This window comes from Homo sapiens, chromosome 19 (assembly GCF_000001405.40).
Source record: "Homo sapiens chromosome 19, GRCh38.p14 Primary Assembly".
Taxonomy (NCBI): Eukaryota; Metazoa; Chordata; class Mammalia; order Primates; family Hominidae; genus Homo; species Homo sapiens.
In genome coordinates this window covers 48,198,274-48,214,783 of record NC_000019.10, presented here as the reverse complement: position 1 = coordinate 48,214,783, position 16,510 = coordinate 48,198,274, and the positions used below count along the sequence as shown (strand labels likewise).

General features: G+C 43.7%; 1 protein-coding gene and 1 long non-coding RNA gene across 21 annotated transcripts in view, besides 1 other annotated feature; one reads left to right on the top strand and one right to left on the bottom strand.

The window, feature by feature from the left end:
* CARD8 (caspase recruitment domain family member 8) overlaps nt 1–11,636 on the top strand; it is a 52,799-nt gene extending 41,163 nt beyond the window's left edge. For 18 of the 20 annotated variants that reach the window (NR_033680.1, NR_033678.1, NR_033679.1 and 15 more), the window contains one exon: nt 2,809–6,698. Coding sequence is in view for 9 of the 20 variants with exons in the window: in NM_001351786.2 (NP_001338715.1) it covers nt 2,809–3,074 (266 nt within the window). In the remaining 11 variants the exon portion in view is untranslated. Of the gene's footprint in view, nt 1–2,808; nt 6,699–8,263; nt 8,401–10,540 lie in introns of those variants that run through there. The other 2 variants (NR_147707.1, NM_001351787.2) reach the window with 2 other exon arrangements.
* Nucleotides 7,509–10,623, bottom strand: LOC124904734 (uncharacterized). The gene is made up of 2 exons (XR_007067282.1): nt 10,562–10,623; nt 7,509–7,599 (listed from the first exon to the last, which is right to left on the bottom strand). It is a non-coding gene; the product is annotated as an uncharacterized LOC124904734 (long non-coding RNA).
* Nucleotides 10,525–10,694: an enhancer, noted in NCBI's record as "active region_14873". NCBI's record gives its function as "activates an Ori minimal core promoter by ATAC-STARR-seq in GM12878 lymphoblastoid cells {active_cell/tissue: GM12878}" and the evidence as "EXISTENCE:reporter gene assay evidence [ECO:0000049][PMID:35858748]".

Below are 16,510 nucleotides of genomic sequence, written 5' to 3'. Positions count from 1 at the left end.
AAAAAAAAAAAAAAGCTTTATAGCAGGAATGAAAGGAAGGAGGAAAGTACACTTGGAAGACGGCCGAGGGGGTGACTTGAAAGACAAGTGCACGGTTTGACCTTTTGACTTGGGGTTTAATATGTTGGCACACTTCCGGGGTCTTGCATCCCTTCTTCCCTGATTCTTCCCCTGGGGTGGGCTGGTCGCCTGCATAGTGGCCCGCAGGGGCTTGGAAGGGGAGCATGCGCAGTGTGTTTCTTGGAGTCATACGCATGCTCACTTGAGGCATTCTTCCCTTACCAGCTCAACCTCCGTAAGAGGTTATAGGCCAGTTAAACTCTGCTCTTAATGCACATTCTTGAGCCCACTGGCCCAGTTCCCGAGATCTTATTGGGAAGCTGCTGATCACCAGTTTCAGGTGTTTTCTCTCTGTCAGGAGACGGCCTTTCCCTGGTGCCGGCTGCAACCAATTATTATTTTAGAGAGACGGTGTAACAACTGCCTGACCATCACCTGATGGTTGCCTGACATTTCTGGTGGGGTGAGGAGTCCTCTCCTGCCCTGCTCATATCTGACGAGCTGCCTGCTGTAACAGCATCTCTCAGCAAGGCTCCATTCCTTCCATCCTTGTCATCTGCCAAGAATGACTGATGTCATAAATACAGACAATGAGTATGATTTAGTCCCAGAAGGGCGTGAGGACATCATGTAGACACAAAAGAGCATACAACAGCAAATTATTGGGGGTAAATATTTAATATCTTGCGTCTGGGGAACTCTAAGTTAAAGTAGTTTGATATGGCTGTGAATTAAACTGTTAGAGGGACAGAGTAAAGGTGACATGAGAAGGATAGTCAAGAGCTGGCAGTTGAAAGTCCAAGAATAAAAGTTGAAATATTTTGGACTTTAGACGGAAAGGCAAGAGTAACTATTAAAGGATGGATAACAATGTGTTGGCTCTTCAAAACAGCGTGGATGATTGAGTGTGGGTTGGGAATGAATAGGAAGTGGGGAACGGTGGGGCTGTTGTAAAAGTGAAGAGCAGATATCAGCCAAGGATCTGTTAAGGACACTGGAATTAGTATATAGCAGAGAAAAAATTATTTACATTATTTAATATAAAGAGTTGGCTGGGTGCAGTGGCTCACACTTGTAATCCCAACACTTTGGGAGGCCGAGGCAGGTGGATCACCTGAGGTCAGGAGTTTGAGACCAGCCTGGCCAACATGGTGAAACCCTGCCTCTACTAAAAATACAAAAACTAGCTGGGCGTGGTGGCACATGCCTGTGATCCCAGCTACTCGGGGGGCTGAGGCAGGAGAATCGCTTGAACCCAGGGGCGGAGATTGCAGTAAGCCGAGATCGTGCCATCGCACTCCAGCCTGGGGACAAGAGTGAGACTTTGTCTCAAAATAAATAAATAAATAAGTAAATAAATAAAATAGAGTTAACACTGAGAGGACCAAGTTTCCATCATCTAGTAAGCAATAAATCCAGGTTTGGAACTCCTTGTCTCCTGATGACTTCATGTCCACGTTAATTTTAAAAATCACCCAAGGCAGCAATCTGCAATGTCCTCTGGATCTGTGTAAAGTCTTGTGTGGCAAATGACAGAAAGTCCAACTTAAATGGAGTGAAATTATCAAGAGTGTCATGGCTCAGGCGAGTTCAAGGAAGAGATGTGGGACTGACTCCAGGGAGGCTGATTCATGGGCTCAAACAACATCACAAGGGAGGAATGTTTCTCCATGTCTTCGTCCCGCCTTCCATATTGTTGGCTTCATTGTCAGGCTCCACACAGTGTAAGTTTCCGAACTCATGTCTCAAAACAGACCACTGGGAGAAAAAAGAGAGCACCTTCTGAGATGGCAATCATGCCATTTCCTAGCTGTTGTTGCCTGGAAGGCCATTGAGGCAGATTAAATAAAAAGAAATCATGCCTCACATCTGGAGGTGCAATGAGGATCAGCTAAGGAGCTTGGTTAAGAATCAGATAAAGGTGACGTCCTAAAATAAATCAAAGAACATCTCTGTAGGTGGTGACTGCAGGCTGAGCAGCACCAACAAAAGGCTTCTACCCTTCCTAAATATAATGTTTAGGATGTGGAGCAAAATATAGCACCTGTTGCCTGCACGTTGAAATCAAAGCTTAGTAGCTCAGTCTACAGGAAGCTGGTCCAGAACATGTCTTGAGTCAAAATCACACCTCAACCTCCATGCATTCTAAACCACGTGATATGGAAGTAATATGATTTGGCCAAGTTTATACAGACATTATATGGGGCACAACGTAAACCCTGAGTCTACATGATGGAAAAAAGTCTGTATCTTTTCCCCTGTTCTTCCTTTTCTATGCATTGTATGTCTCCAGTTAAATCTCTTCTTTCATAGCTCTGCCAGCTAAGCTTTGGGGATCCAGCTGAATCCTTCTCCATACCTCTAGCATCATGCACAGTTTCTGACAATGTATGAACTAGAAGATTTGTGTTTCGTTGTTAGAGGGATTTATATATAAATGTATGTACAGCAAGATAGAGCTCTGTCTAGGATTTCAATGAAAAACACCAACTAGGAAGAAACAGGCTTCAAGAAATGGATGAGAGGAGTAGGACTGAGGAAGATACATTATTTGAGACACCTCAATGCATTTGATACTGCAAAGGGTATATTTGCTCTGTGAATGTGTGTGATTTTGTATGTCCACAAATTAAGCTACAGACACAAGGAGCAATCTCCCACCCCTGAATTTTGACTCTAAGCTTGGTATAGATCCTGAATCCTGTAAGTGAACGATTCTCAAAGTCTGAAACTCCCCCTTTCATCCAGGTGCAGCCTTTGTGAAGGAGAACCACCGGCAACTCCAAGCCAGGATGGGGGACCTGAAAGGGGTGCTCGATGATCTCCAAGACAATGAGGTTCTTACTGAGAATGAGAAGGAGCTGGTGGAGCAGGAAAAGACACGGCAGAGCAAGAATGAGGCCTTGCTGAGCATGGTGGAGAAGAAAGGGGACCTGGCCCTGGACGTGCTCTTCAGAAGCATTAGTGAAAGGGACCCTTACCTCGTGTCCTATCTTAGACAGCAGAATTTGTAAAATGAGTCAGTTAGGTAGTCTGGAAGAGAGAATCCAGCGTTCTCATTGGAAATGGATAAACAGAAATGTGATCATTGATTTCAGTGTTCAAGACAGAAGAAGACTGGGTAACATCTATCACACAGGCTTTCAGGACAGACTTGTAACCTGGCATGTACCTATTGACTGTATCCTCATGCATTTTCCTCAAGAATGTCTGAAGAAGGTAGTAATATTCCTTTTAAATTTTTTCCAACCATTGCTTGATATATCACTATTTTATCCATTGACATGATTCTTGAAGACCCAGGATAAAGGACATCCGGATAGGTGTGTTTATGAAGGATGGGGCCTGGAAAGGCAACTTTTCCTGATTAATGTGAAAAATAATTCCTATGGACACTCCGTTTGAAGTATCACCTTCTCATAACTAAAAGCAGAAAAGCTAACAAAAGCTTCTCAGCTGAGGACACTCAAGGCATACATGATGACAGTCTTTTTTTTTTTTGTATGTTAGGACTTTAACACTTTATCTATGGCTACTGTTATTAGAACAATGTAAATGTATTTGCTGAAAGAGAGCACAAAAATGGGAGAAAATGCAAACATGAGCAGAAAATATTTTCCCACTGGTGTGTAGCCTGCTACAAGGAGTTGTTGGGTTAAATGTTCATGGTCAACTCCAAGGAATACTGAGATGAAATGTGGTAAATCAACTCCACAGAACCACCAAAAAGAAAATGAGGGTAATTCAGCTTATTCTGAGACAGACATTCCTGGCAATGTACCATACAAAAAATAAGCCAACTCTGACATTTGGATTCTACCATAGACTCTGTCATTTTGTAGCCATTTCAGCTGTCTTTTGATTAATGTTTTCGTGGCACACATATTTCCATCCTTTTATGTTTAATCTGTTTAAAACAAGTTCCTAGTAGACACCATCTGGTTGAGTCAGTTTTTTTTATGGTGTATTTTGAACCCATTCTGATAGTCTCTTTTAACTGGAAGATTTCAATTACTTACGTTAATGTAATTATTAATATGTTAGGATTTATCCTCAGTCAGCCAGTTTGTTATGTCTTTTCTATTCTACTGTTATCACATTTGTACCACTTAAAGTGGAATCTAGGCACTTTATCACCATTTAGATCCTATTACCTTTTCTCATCTAGGATATAGTTATCTTCTACATAATCTTTCTGTATCTTAAAACCCATCAATAAATTATTATATATTTTCTACTTTTAATCACTCAGAAGATTTAAAAAACTCATGAGAAGAGTAATCTGTTATGTTTTTCCAGATATTTACCATTTCTGTTGCTCTTCCTTCATTATTTTCCAAATTTCGTTCTGCAAATTTCCACTTCCTCTGATAGACGTTTTTTAGTTCTTTTAGAGTGGTTCTGATAGGTACAGATTCTCTTATTTTTTGCTTCCTCTGAGGACATCTTTTTCTCACCTTCATTCTCAGTGATGTTTTTTGCTTGTAGTATTTTTAGTTGACATTGTTTTCTGTTCAGCAGTTTCCTTTTAGCTTCCGTATTTCCTGATGAGAAATCTGCAGTCATTCAAATTGTTGTTTCCCTGTATGTAGTGTGTCATTTTTCTGTCAGATTTCAAGGTATTTATCTTTAGTTTTTAGCCATTTCATTATGTTGGGGATGAGTTTCCTTGTTTTATTCCCTTTGGAATTTGCTCCAATTCATAAATTTGCAGTTTTATGTCTTTTACCAAACTTAGAGGTTTTCAGCCTAATTTCTAAAAATACTTTTTATTAGCCTGATTTTCATCTTTATAGGAAATAGTTTAAGTGATGACAAGTTCCAATAGCTTATATGCCCAGAAGGCCTTCAAAATAAGAATTTTGAAAGAATACAGAAAACAAACTTTTATATCCTTCTCATGTCTTCTACTGTAAAATTCATATGCTTTGCTACTCTAAACCTAGTTTGAAATCAACAGTCTTGAGAATAGATGAAAATTTTGATGAATAGTGGAATTCTTTTAAATGGAAACCTCTTACATGTGATTTTCCTTGCCATCTAGAAATAAACCATAGTATTTATGTTGAATCAATCAATATTATATTTTGTTTTTTTCCTCCTCTTCTGAGACTCTTATTGTGGAAATGTTAGACTTTTATGTTTTCCTAAATGTCCCTGATATTCTACTTATTTAGAACATCTTTTCATTTTTTCCATTATTCTGATTGGGTAATTTTAATTTGTCTATTTTCAAATTTGCTGGAGTGTTCACCTGTTGTTATCTGTGTCGTCCCACTGAGTGCATTCACCACCTTTTAAATTTTGGTCACTGTATGTATCAGTTCTAAAATTTCCATTTTGTTCTCTATATTTTAAATTTCTTGCCTTATATTCTATTTTCCTGCAAATGTGTCAGCATTTGCTTGTTTGAGCTTTTTTTTTTTCAAGACAGGGTCTCAACTCTGTTACCCAGGCTGGAGTGCAGTGGTGCGATCTCAGCTCACTGCAACCTCTGCCTCCTGGTTCAAGCGATTATTGTGCCTCAGCCTCCAGAGTAGCTGGGATTACAGGCATGCACCACCACAGCCCAGCTAATTTTTTGTATTTTTAGTAGAGACAGAGTTTTGCTATGTTGGCCAGGCTGGTTTTGAACTCCTGGCCTCAAGTGATCCACCCACCTCAGCCTCCCAAAGTGCTGGGATTACAGGCCACTACACCTGGCACATTTGAGTATTTTTTTTTTTTTTTTTTTTTTTTTGAGATGGAGTCTCGCTCTGTCATCTAGGCTGGAGTGCAGTGGTGTGATCTCAGCTCACTGCAGCCTCTGTCTCCCGGGCTCAAGCGATTCTCTTGCCTCAGCCTCCTGAGTAGCTAGGACTACAGGTGCATGCCAACACGCCCGGCTAATTTTTTTTTAAAAATATTTTTAGTAGAGACAGGGTTTCACCATTTTGGCCAGGATGGTCTTGATCTCCTGACCTCATGATCCACCCGCCTCGGCCTTCCAAAGTGCTGGGATTACAGGCATGAGCCACCGTGCCTGGCCTCATTTGAGTATTTTTATAATGTCTCTTTTAAAGTCTTTGTCAGATAATTTCACTGTACATGTTATTCAGTGTTTGGTGTCCACTGAGTTGTCATTTGCCAGACAAGTGGAGATTTTTGCAGCTCATCCTTGTATTCTCAGTAGTTCCGATATGTACCCTCGAAATGTGAATGTTATCTTATGAGACTCTGTTTTATTTGTATCCAACAGAAGATGTTTATTATTTATTTGGCTTTCTGTGAACTGAGGTCTTAATATCAGCTCATTTTAAAAGTCTTTGCAGTGGTATTCGGATCTATCCTGTGTGTGCCTATGAGATTGGGTGCAGTGTATCCTGTTAGCTCCATTCTCAGGGCGTTTGAATGTGAATTAGGACCAGCGCAATGAATGCTCAAGTTGGGGTTGGGCGTTAGAATTCATAAAAGTCTTTATATGCTCAGATTCTGCAGCTCCATCCTCTTCATGATTGTGATCGTAAGGACAGTGGAATTTTGCAGTTGTCTATACCTTATCTTGAAGTAGAACTAAATTGTTACATTTGAAGAATGTACTTCATAAATTTACAAAAATAAAAAAATAGGTTAATGTTATTAAAACAAAAAGGCACACATTTTTAGAAGTTAAATTGATTTATTTGAGGATGCTAAATTAAAAATAGAAGGCCGGATGCAGTGGCTCACGCCTGTAATCCCAACACTTTGGGAGGCCGAGGTGGGTGAATCAGATGAGGCCAGGAGCTCGAGACCAGCCTGGCCAACATGGTGAAACCCCGTCTCTACTAAAATTACAAAAATTAGCCGGGCATGGTGGTGCATGTCTGTAATCCCAGCTGCTCGGGAGGCTAAGGCATGAGAATCACTTGAGCCTGGGAGGCAGGGGTTGCAGTGAGCCAAGATCACACCACTGCACTCCAGCCTGGCTGACAGAGTCTCATTCTGTCTCAAAAAAAAAAAAAAAAAAACAGAAAAACAACAATAAAAAAGAAGAAGTTCATTAGAATGAAGCTACTAAGAAGAAGATGTAAATATCAGGTGATATTTATAATACATAAAAATGATTCAACATGAGTAAACAAACAGAAAACTCCTTGTGAAAAATGGGCAAACGTTATGAGTAAAATGTTACAGTTTGTAAATCGCAATGGACAATGAACAAAAGTAGAATTTCATACGTCTAGTTATCAGAAACCTCATTAAAAGCCATAAAAATACTACATTTTATATTCATCAAACTTCCATTTATTAAGAAGTCAGTAATGCCTACTACTGGTGAGTATATGGAGCACAAATGTAAGTTCTGCTGTTGGTTAGGTAATGCTTGATTTTGGAAATTAATCTGAAGTTACACAGTGAAGTTAAAGGTATGTATACTACCTTATCCTGCTCAGGTTGCCATAACAAAATACCATGGACTCAGTGGCTTAAAGAGTAAAATTTTATTTCTTACAGTTCTCAGGCTGGGAAGTCCTAGATAAATATTTGGCCAATTCAGCATGGTTTTTTTTTTCTTTTCTTTTCTTTTTTTTTTTTTGAGACAGAGTCTCTCTGTCGCCCAGGTTGGAGTGCAGTGGCGTGATCTCGGCCCACTGCAACCTCCGCCTCCCGGGTTCAAGTGATTCTCCTGCCTCAGCCTCCTGAGTAGCTGGGATTACAGGTGCCCACCACCACGCCCAGCTAATTTTTGTATTTTTAGTAGAACAGAGAGGAGAAGGTTAGGGGTGAGTCAGAGGAAGTACGAGAGCAATCGCTAAGAGATAAGGTCGAACTTTAGGAGCCAGGAAAGCCTCCACACTTGTCACCCCACACATCAGGGCTGTCCAACAGAACTTTCTGCAGTGATGGTGTTACCCTATGGAAGGTCCTGACTGTGAGTTGTTAGGGTTCTTGGTGTGTGGAACAAAGAATTGAACAAAATGCACAAACAAAGCAACAAAAGAGCGGAGTAACGAAAGCACAGATTTATGGAAGTGAAAGTACACTCCAGAGTCGGAGTGGGCTTGAGCAAGTAGCTCAAGAGCCCCTGACTGCAGTGCTCTTTAGAGTTTTCATTAAGCTAAAAGAATTTGGTAACACCCCTAGGTGCCCTTTAGAGGCCTCCAGTTGGTTACACCCTATGAAGGATTGGCCCGTGACCAATCAAGAGGCTGAAGTGGAGACTTCTGTCTTGTTATCACAGGAGTGAGGATGTGGCCTGGATGCTGCCCAATCTTGCCTAGAACTGGCTGCACCTGCTTGTGCCTTAACCCTTGGTTACCCTAAATCCCTGTTATCCAGACTCATTGGGACTGCTCTAGATCTTCACTATCCAATACGGTAGGCGCTTCCTGAAATGTGCTGAGTTTTATTTCATTATAATTAATGTAATGCACCCACATGTGGCTAGCTGCTACTGTTCTATTGAAATGCAACTATACAACTTCCCATAATGTTTCAAAACACCAAACTCTTCTGTAACTCCCCCAGTCTCCCAAAACATCTTATAAAAATCCTAGAACAACTGGCTGGGGGCGATGGCTCACGGCTGTAATCCCAGCACTCTGGGAGGCTGAGGCGGGTGGATCACTTGAGGTTAGGAGTTCGAGACCAGCCTGGCCAACGTGGTGAAACCTCGTCTCTACTGAAAATACAAAAATTAGCCAGGCATGGTGGCGCACACCCGTAATCCCAGCTACTTGGGAGGCTGAGGCAGGAGAATTGCTTGAACTCAGAAGGTGGAGGTTGCAGTGAGCCAAAATTGCACCACTGCACTCCAGCCTGGGTGACAGAGTGAGACTCTGTCTCAAAAAATAAAAATAAAAATCCTATAACAACTGCACAATGCTCAAACGGCCCAATTCCCTACCTTTCCTTTTATACCTTACTACTACTCTCTTGTTGCTCCCATCATGCCTCACTCCCTACTCACATTTCCCAGACGGAGGTTACATGTGATATGGCAGCTGAGAGCCCAGACTCTGGGGCCCGATTGTGTGGGTCCAAATTCTGGTTCTAACACCTCTGGCCAAGTTATTTAACCTCTCTGTGGTGCAGTTTCCTCATCTGTAAAATGGGGGTGTGACAGTAACGCTACCTCATAGGAATGTTGGGATGCCTCAACAGCACTCATGTAAAGCAGAGATGGGTACAAGTAGCTTTATTATATATTATCTGTTTAACAATTGTATATGGGCCAGGCGCAGTGGCTCACGCCTATAATCCCAGCACTTTGGGAGACTGAGGTGGGTGAATCTCTTGAGGTCAGGAGTTCAAGACCAGCCTGGCCAACATGGTGAAACCCCTTCTCTACTAAAATTACAAAAATTAGCCGGGCGTGGTGGTGCGCACCTGTAATCCCAGCTACTCGGGAGGCTGAGGCAGGAGAATCGCTTGAACCCGGGAAGCAGAGGTTGAAATGAGCAGAGATCATGCCACTGCACTCCAGCCTGGGCGACAGCGTAAGACTCCATCTCAAAAACAAGCAAACAATTGTATATGGCCGAAACTTTCCATAATAAAACGTTTTTAAAAATAAGAGTACTTAGCATAGTCTCTGGCACACAGTCAGTGCTGATCTTGGCGTTAGCTTCAACACTCCGACTTTTCCTGACTATCCCCAGCTCCTCCTACAACCCAATTACTCTATAATACCTGTTTCCCCTATAATAACCCACTCTTCACAAACACTTAAATTAACCATAATGAGAGCTGCCAAATAAAATACAGGATGCCCAGCTAAATTTGAATTTCAGATAAACAACAGAGAGTAACTACAATATTATGCATTTTCCGAAATTAGAATTTAACTGGCCATTGCTTTCCCCCTAAATCTGGTAACTCTATCACTAAATGCCTTTGCATACTGAGGAATCCTCAGTGCTTCCTAGAGGCTGCTACTGAGTTGGCCTTCTATAAATAACAACAGAATTAACTTATATAATACCTCAATTCCCTTATAAAACTTCCAGCTTCTCTTTACAGCGCCAGTTCTTCCCAATCGCCTCCCAGTCCCTCCCATAGAGGACAACAGTCCCCTTTTCTTATACCTCCCCTTCTCCATGAAACCCCAATTCCGTCTATAGTCACATCTGTCCTGTTTACCAGTACTGTCAACTGTGCCTGGCTTCCAGCAGGAGCTCTATAATAACTGCAGAATGGCAAAAGAGCTTAATACCCCAATTTTCCCTACTGCTTTGGGAGGCTGAGGCGGGCGGATCCTACTGCGTTTCCACTTCCCCTTGAGCATCCCAAGTATCTAGTAACTTGTCGATTTCAATGATCTCCCCAAATCTCCTTATTACATAGGAATTCACCAAAACACTCCCTGTCCTTGAAAACATCCCATTTCCCCTAATATCACCCCAACTCCCCTTACTGCAGACTGATTCCTCCGGCACACCCTCCATCCCTCCAGTTCCCAGGCTGTTAGTCTAATTTCTCCCGCGAGGTCTCTAATCCCCGTCTCCTTCCACTCCAGGGTTACTGTGGCAACGCCAACCTTTGAATCCCCCTCCTGCGCGCTGAGCGGCTCGTAACCATGGAGACCGAAGCAGGTTTCCCGCGTCCGCCTCCTCACCCAGAGACTGCAGCCCCGGCGCCCAGACCCTTTGGACAAGGAGATCCAAGCGGGCCCCACAATGCTCAGCGGGTAAAGAGCTCCTCCCCACTCCTCTCCCGCCAGCAGACGAAGGAAACACCCCGCAGCCTGCACATGCTCAGATGGAGCTCTGGGCCCGCGGGTTCTACTGCGCAGGCCCTCACACTCAGCAAAGGGACTTGGACGCGAAAGCGCTGGTGGCGCTCAGCCGGCTGGGAGTTGTAGCTTTCTGGCTGCTACAGCAGGAGATACAGGTGGCCAATGGGTGAGCTGGCTGGAGGTAGGAACAAGGTTAAGGAAGCTGGGATCTTCGTGCAGACTGGATCGTCACTATAGCAACAATGAAACATCGGGAAGGGCTAGTTCTGCTAGGCAGTCTGCCATTTTCATTCTTTCATCTTTTTTTTTAACTCAAAGCTTACTTTGCAACAGGCACTGTTCTAGGCACTGGGGATACAATGGAAAACAAAATAGAGCTTCTATTTTGGCGGGAGATCGACTTAATAACTGTGAACACGTGTCACTGGAAAAAGCAGTATGTTAATAAGTAACTGGGCTGCTTTGGGAAAAATGGAAATGCAGGCGATGTTAGAACACTGGTACACACACTAATTCATTCATCCTCACAAAGCCCTATAGACAGGTACTATTATGACCCCTCAACTGTAACATAGGCTGGAAGGTCACATGACAAGGAAGTAGTGGAGCTGGGATTTGAACCCAGGCAGTCTGGCTTCATACTTGATAAGCTTAATCACAATGCCAAAGTGGTAAATAGCTGTGTGGCATAATTTCAGGTAGTGATAAGTGCTGTGAAGGATAAAGCAAAGAAAGGGGCAGGGATGGCTCTTTAGAGAGACTACTTAGGGATGGCTTTCAGGAAGAGGTGGCATTTGAGCAGGGGCCCGAGGGATTGATGTGACTTGTGATAAAAGAAAAACTTCAGACGAATTAAATTTAAAGAAGTTTAATTGGCTAGGCACTGTGGTTCATGCCTGTAATCCCAGCACTTTGGGAGGCCGAGGAGGGCGGATGGCTTCAAGTCAGGAGCTTGAGACCAGCCTGGTCAACATGGCAAAACCCTGTCTCTACTACAAATACAAAAATTAGCTAGGCATGGTGGTGGGCACCTGTAGTCCCAGCTACTCGGGAGGCTGAGGCACAAGAATTGCTTGAACGCAGAAGGTGGAGGTTGTAGTGAGCTGAGATCGCACCACTGTGCTCCAGCCTGTGCAACAGAGCGAGACTCCATCTCTAAATAAATAAATAAATAGAGTTTAATTGAGCAATGAAGGATCCACGAATCAGGTAGCCTCGGGCCAGAGTAGGCTGAAACTCCAGCACAGCCATGTGGTGGAAGATTTATGGACAGAAAAAGGAAAGTGACATACAGAAAACGTAAGTGAGGTACAGAAACAGCTGGATTGATTACAGCTCGGCGTTTGCTGTACACAGTTCGAACAGTTGGCTACATTTGATTGCCCAAAACTCGGTGATTGGCACAAGCGTAGGCCACCTTCTGTTTACACCTCCACTTGTTATAGTTCACGACGTACAGAAAAACCTTCAGGCCGAACTTAAAATATGTAAGGAGGCAGCTTTAGGCTAAACTTGATTTAACACTGTGAGCTATATATGTGGGGCATATAGAGGGTTAAGGTTTACTAACCTTTAGTTTCCTCTTGCCTTCCTGAAGGGCCAAATACTGTAATACGTGCAGTTCCCTCCAATAGGAACGTACTTCTTCATTCTCTTTTCCTGGCAAACACATTCTTCAAGGTCCAGTTCTGTGAAGATCCTTCTGCCTGTTTTTTAAAATTTATTTTTATTTGTTTGTTTATGGTCACATACGTCTCTTCCTGGTCTGGACTCATCCAATCCATTTGTCACAGTAAAGCTTCTGGGGTAGGGGAGGTGGTTATTCTAATGTACATCCAATCAAGCCACTCTCTGTTTAAAACCTTTTGAAGGCTTCCCATACCTCCCAGGATAAAGACTCACCTCATCTTCTATCTTTAAGGGCTTGCGGATTTCACTGTCCAAATCTCTCCCTCTTTCACACTCTGACCCATCTACACTGGCCCATCTTCTCTTTACCTTATGGGCTGAGCTCTTTTCCACCCCAGGGTTCTGTGTGTTATTTGGTGAATCAATTAATGAATTAATTCAGCTTCCCGTCACTAACCAGATAGCCCACATCTAAGAATCTAATGATAAAACAGGCAAGTGGAGAAGTTTTGGATTTGGTTTGCGCTCAATAGCTGTTGTTTGCCTTCCCAGGATCCCTCCTGCCTCCTTTCCTTTCTCTCTTTCTTTTTTTTTTTTTATTTTTTATTTTAAGAGATGGGCATCTCCGGGCGCAGTGGCTCACGCCTGTAATCCCAGCACTTTGGGAGGCCGAGGTGGGCGAATCATGAGGTCAGGAGATCGAGACCATCCTGGCTAACACGGTGAAACCCCGTCTCTACTAAAAAATAGAAAAAATTAGCCGGGTGTGGTGCCGGCCACCTGTAGTCCCAGCTACTCGGGAGGCTGAGGCAGGAGAATGGCGTGAACCCGGGAGGCAGAGCTTGCAGAGAGCCGAGATCGTGCTGCTGCATTCCAGCCTGGGCGACAGAGCGAGACTCCATCTCAAAAAAAAAAAAGAGATGGGCATCACGGGTGTGACTAGCTGGGGCCAGTATCATGGGAGGTAAAGGCATTTATCAAGACAGTCGTAGGGAAAGAAAGGCAGATTTATTAGACAGATAGTACATTGCAAGAAAGCAATGGGCAGCACAGCAGACGAAGAGCTGTCTGCAAAGGCAGGGGCTGCAGGGAAGTTTCATAGGGTTGTACTGGAGGGGTCTACGTGCTGAACGAGTTACCCTAGTCCTCCCGGCCAAGGCATTTTTTGAGACAGAGTCTCACTCTGTCACCCAGGCTGGAGTGCAGTGGAACAATCATGGCTCACTGCAGCTTCGACCTCCCAGGCTCAGGAGATCCTCCCACCTTAGCCTCTTGAGTAGCTGAGATCACAGACGTGCACCATCATACCAGGCTAATTTTGTTTCTATTTTTGTAGAAACGGGGTCTTCCTATGTTGCCCAGGTTCGTCTTGAACTCCTGGGCTCAAGCGGTCCTCCCACTTTGGCCCCCCAAAGTGCTGGGATTTCAGACATGAGCCACCAAGCCCTGCCAAGGCCTTTTTAGTTCACCCAAAAGCCAGATGACTCCCGATATGTGGGCAAGCCCAACGAAGATCAGCTACTTTATCAAGATTAGCTGCTTTCATTTTTTTTAAATAAGCCTATTTCCGATAATTGTAGGTTTATGATCAGTTGCTTTGCTTTTCAAAGTATAACATGCATACTAGGATCTTGTTAGAATGAGATTCTGATTCTGTAGTTTTGGAATGGGTTTGAGAATCTGCATTTCTTTCTTTTTTCTTTCTTTCTTTTTCTTGAGATGGAGTTTTACTTTGTCGCACAGGCTGGAGTGCAGTGGAGCGATCTCGGCTCACTGCAACCTCCGCCTCCTGGGTTCAAGAGATTCTCCTGCCTCAGCCTCCCGAGTAGCTGGGACTACAGGTGCGCCACCACGCCCAGCTAATTTTTGTATTTTTAGTAGAGGCAGGGTTTCACCATGTTGGCCAGCATGGTCTCGATCTCCTGACCTCAGGTGATCCGCCCACCTCAGCCTCCCAAAGTGCTGGGATTACAGGTGTGAGCCACCGTGCCCAGCCGAGAATCTGCATTTCTAACAAGCTCCTAGGGAATGTTCATGACACTGTTGCATGCACCACACTGAAAAGCAAGGGTCTAGCCAACCCCTCAGGTGACCCAAGACTCATAAGCAATACGTGTTCATTTTTATTATTGTTTTAACTTTTAAAGTCAGGGGTACATGTGCAGGTTTGTTGTATAGGTAAACTTTTATCATGGGGGTTTGTTGTACAGATTATTTTGTCACCCAGGTATTAAGCCTAGTACCCATTAGTTATTTTTCCCGATCCTCTCCCTCCTCCCATCCTCCACCCCCTAGTAGGTCTCCATGTGTGTTGCCCCTCTCTCTGTGTCATTTCTTCTCATCATTTAGCTCCCACTTATAAGTGAGAGCATGCAGTATTTGGTTTTCTGTTCCTGTGTTAGTTCATTAAGGATAATGACCTCCAGCTCCATCCATGTCCCTGCAAAGAACATGATCTAGTTGTTTAATGGCTCTATAGTATTCCATGGTGTATATGTACCATATTTTCTTTATCTAGCTTATGATTATTGATGGGCATTTAGGTTGATTCCAAATACATGTTTATTGTTATATACTTAGGAAGTTTTATAGTTGTTAACACAGCATTTATGTAGCCATGGATAACTGATAACCTCCATAAATCCAACCTGCTGCTTCCTTGAGACTTAATATACGAATGCTGATAGAATGGTATTTTTGGATCAAGATAGGAGGGTGTGATATGGGAACTTCTAGTCCCCCCCTTTCTCAGGAGAGAGCTGTCTTTTGAAGAAATCCATCGCACGAAAAGCAGGCGAGAGAGGGGAAACCTGACATTGTTTGAGCCCCTGCAGTCAGCTGCCATCAAAGCCTTTGACTTCGCATGACTTGAACCACTGAATCATTTTTTTTCTTTTTTTTTTTTTTTGACAGAGTCTCGCTCTGTCACCCAGGCTGGAGTGCAGTGGCACGATCTTGGCTCACTGCAACCTGCGCCTCTTGGGTTCAAGCAATTCTCATGCTTCAGCCTCCCAAGTAGCTGGGACTACAGGCACCCGCCACCACATCTGGCTAATTTTTGTATTTTTAGTAGAGACAGGATTTTGCCTTGCTGGCCAGGCTGGTCTTGAACTCCTGGCCTTAAGTGATCCACCTACCTCAGCCTCCCAAAGTGCTGGAATTACAGGTGTGAGCCACCACACCCGGCCTGAATTGTCTTTTATCTCAAGTTCCTTCATTGCTACTCAAAGTGTGCTCCACAACCCAGCACAGCCACATCATCGGAGAGCTTGCTAGAATGTTGGGCCCTATCTTAGACCTACTGAGTCAGACTCTGTATTTTAAGAAGGTGCCCACGTGACTCACGTCCACGCTAAAGTTTGAAAAATGCTGAGCTACTTCAACCTGGACTTTGTCACCTATAATAGAATTAAATCCCCTTCATCAGTTGCGACAACAGAAACCCCAACTCAAACTTCCCTAAATCATTAGGGTATCTTTGATTGGCCAGGTGCAATGGCCCACATCTGTAATTCTAGCACTTTGGGAGGCTGAAGCAGGGGCATCGCTTGAGGCCAGGAGTTTGAGAACAGCCCAAGTAACGTAGCAAGAGACCTCATCTTTACAAAAAGTTAAAAAAAAGAAAAGAAAAGAAAAGAAAAAGAAATTAGCTAGGTGGTAGCACGAGCCTATAGTCCTAGCTACTCAGGAGGCTGAGCTGGAGGATCCCTTGGGCCCAAGAGCTGGAAGGCTGCAGTGAGCTATGTTTGCACCACTGCACTCCAGCCTGGGCCAGAGCGAGACACTGTCTCTAACAAAAAAGGATATATTTTACTTAAGAAGCCCCATGGTAGAGCAGACTCGAGAGACTCAACTGAGCCAAGCAAAGATCCAGATTTTCTTCATCTCAGCTCTGTCATCCTCAGTGTGGACTTCATTATCACACCATACCAAGGTAATCATCAGCAGGTCTAGGCCTGATCATGTCTCTAGGCCTTCTTAGGAGTGATAGAATCTTTATTAGAAGCCTCCTAGGCCGGGCGCAGTGGCTTACGCTTGTGATCCCAGCACTTTAGGAGGCTGAGGCGAGCAGGTCACCTGAGGTCAGGAGTTTGAGACCAGCCTGGCCAACATGGTGAAACC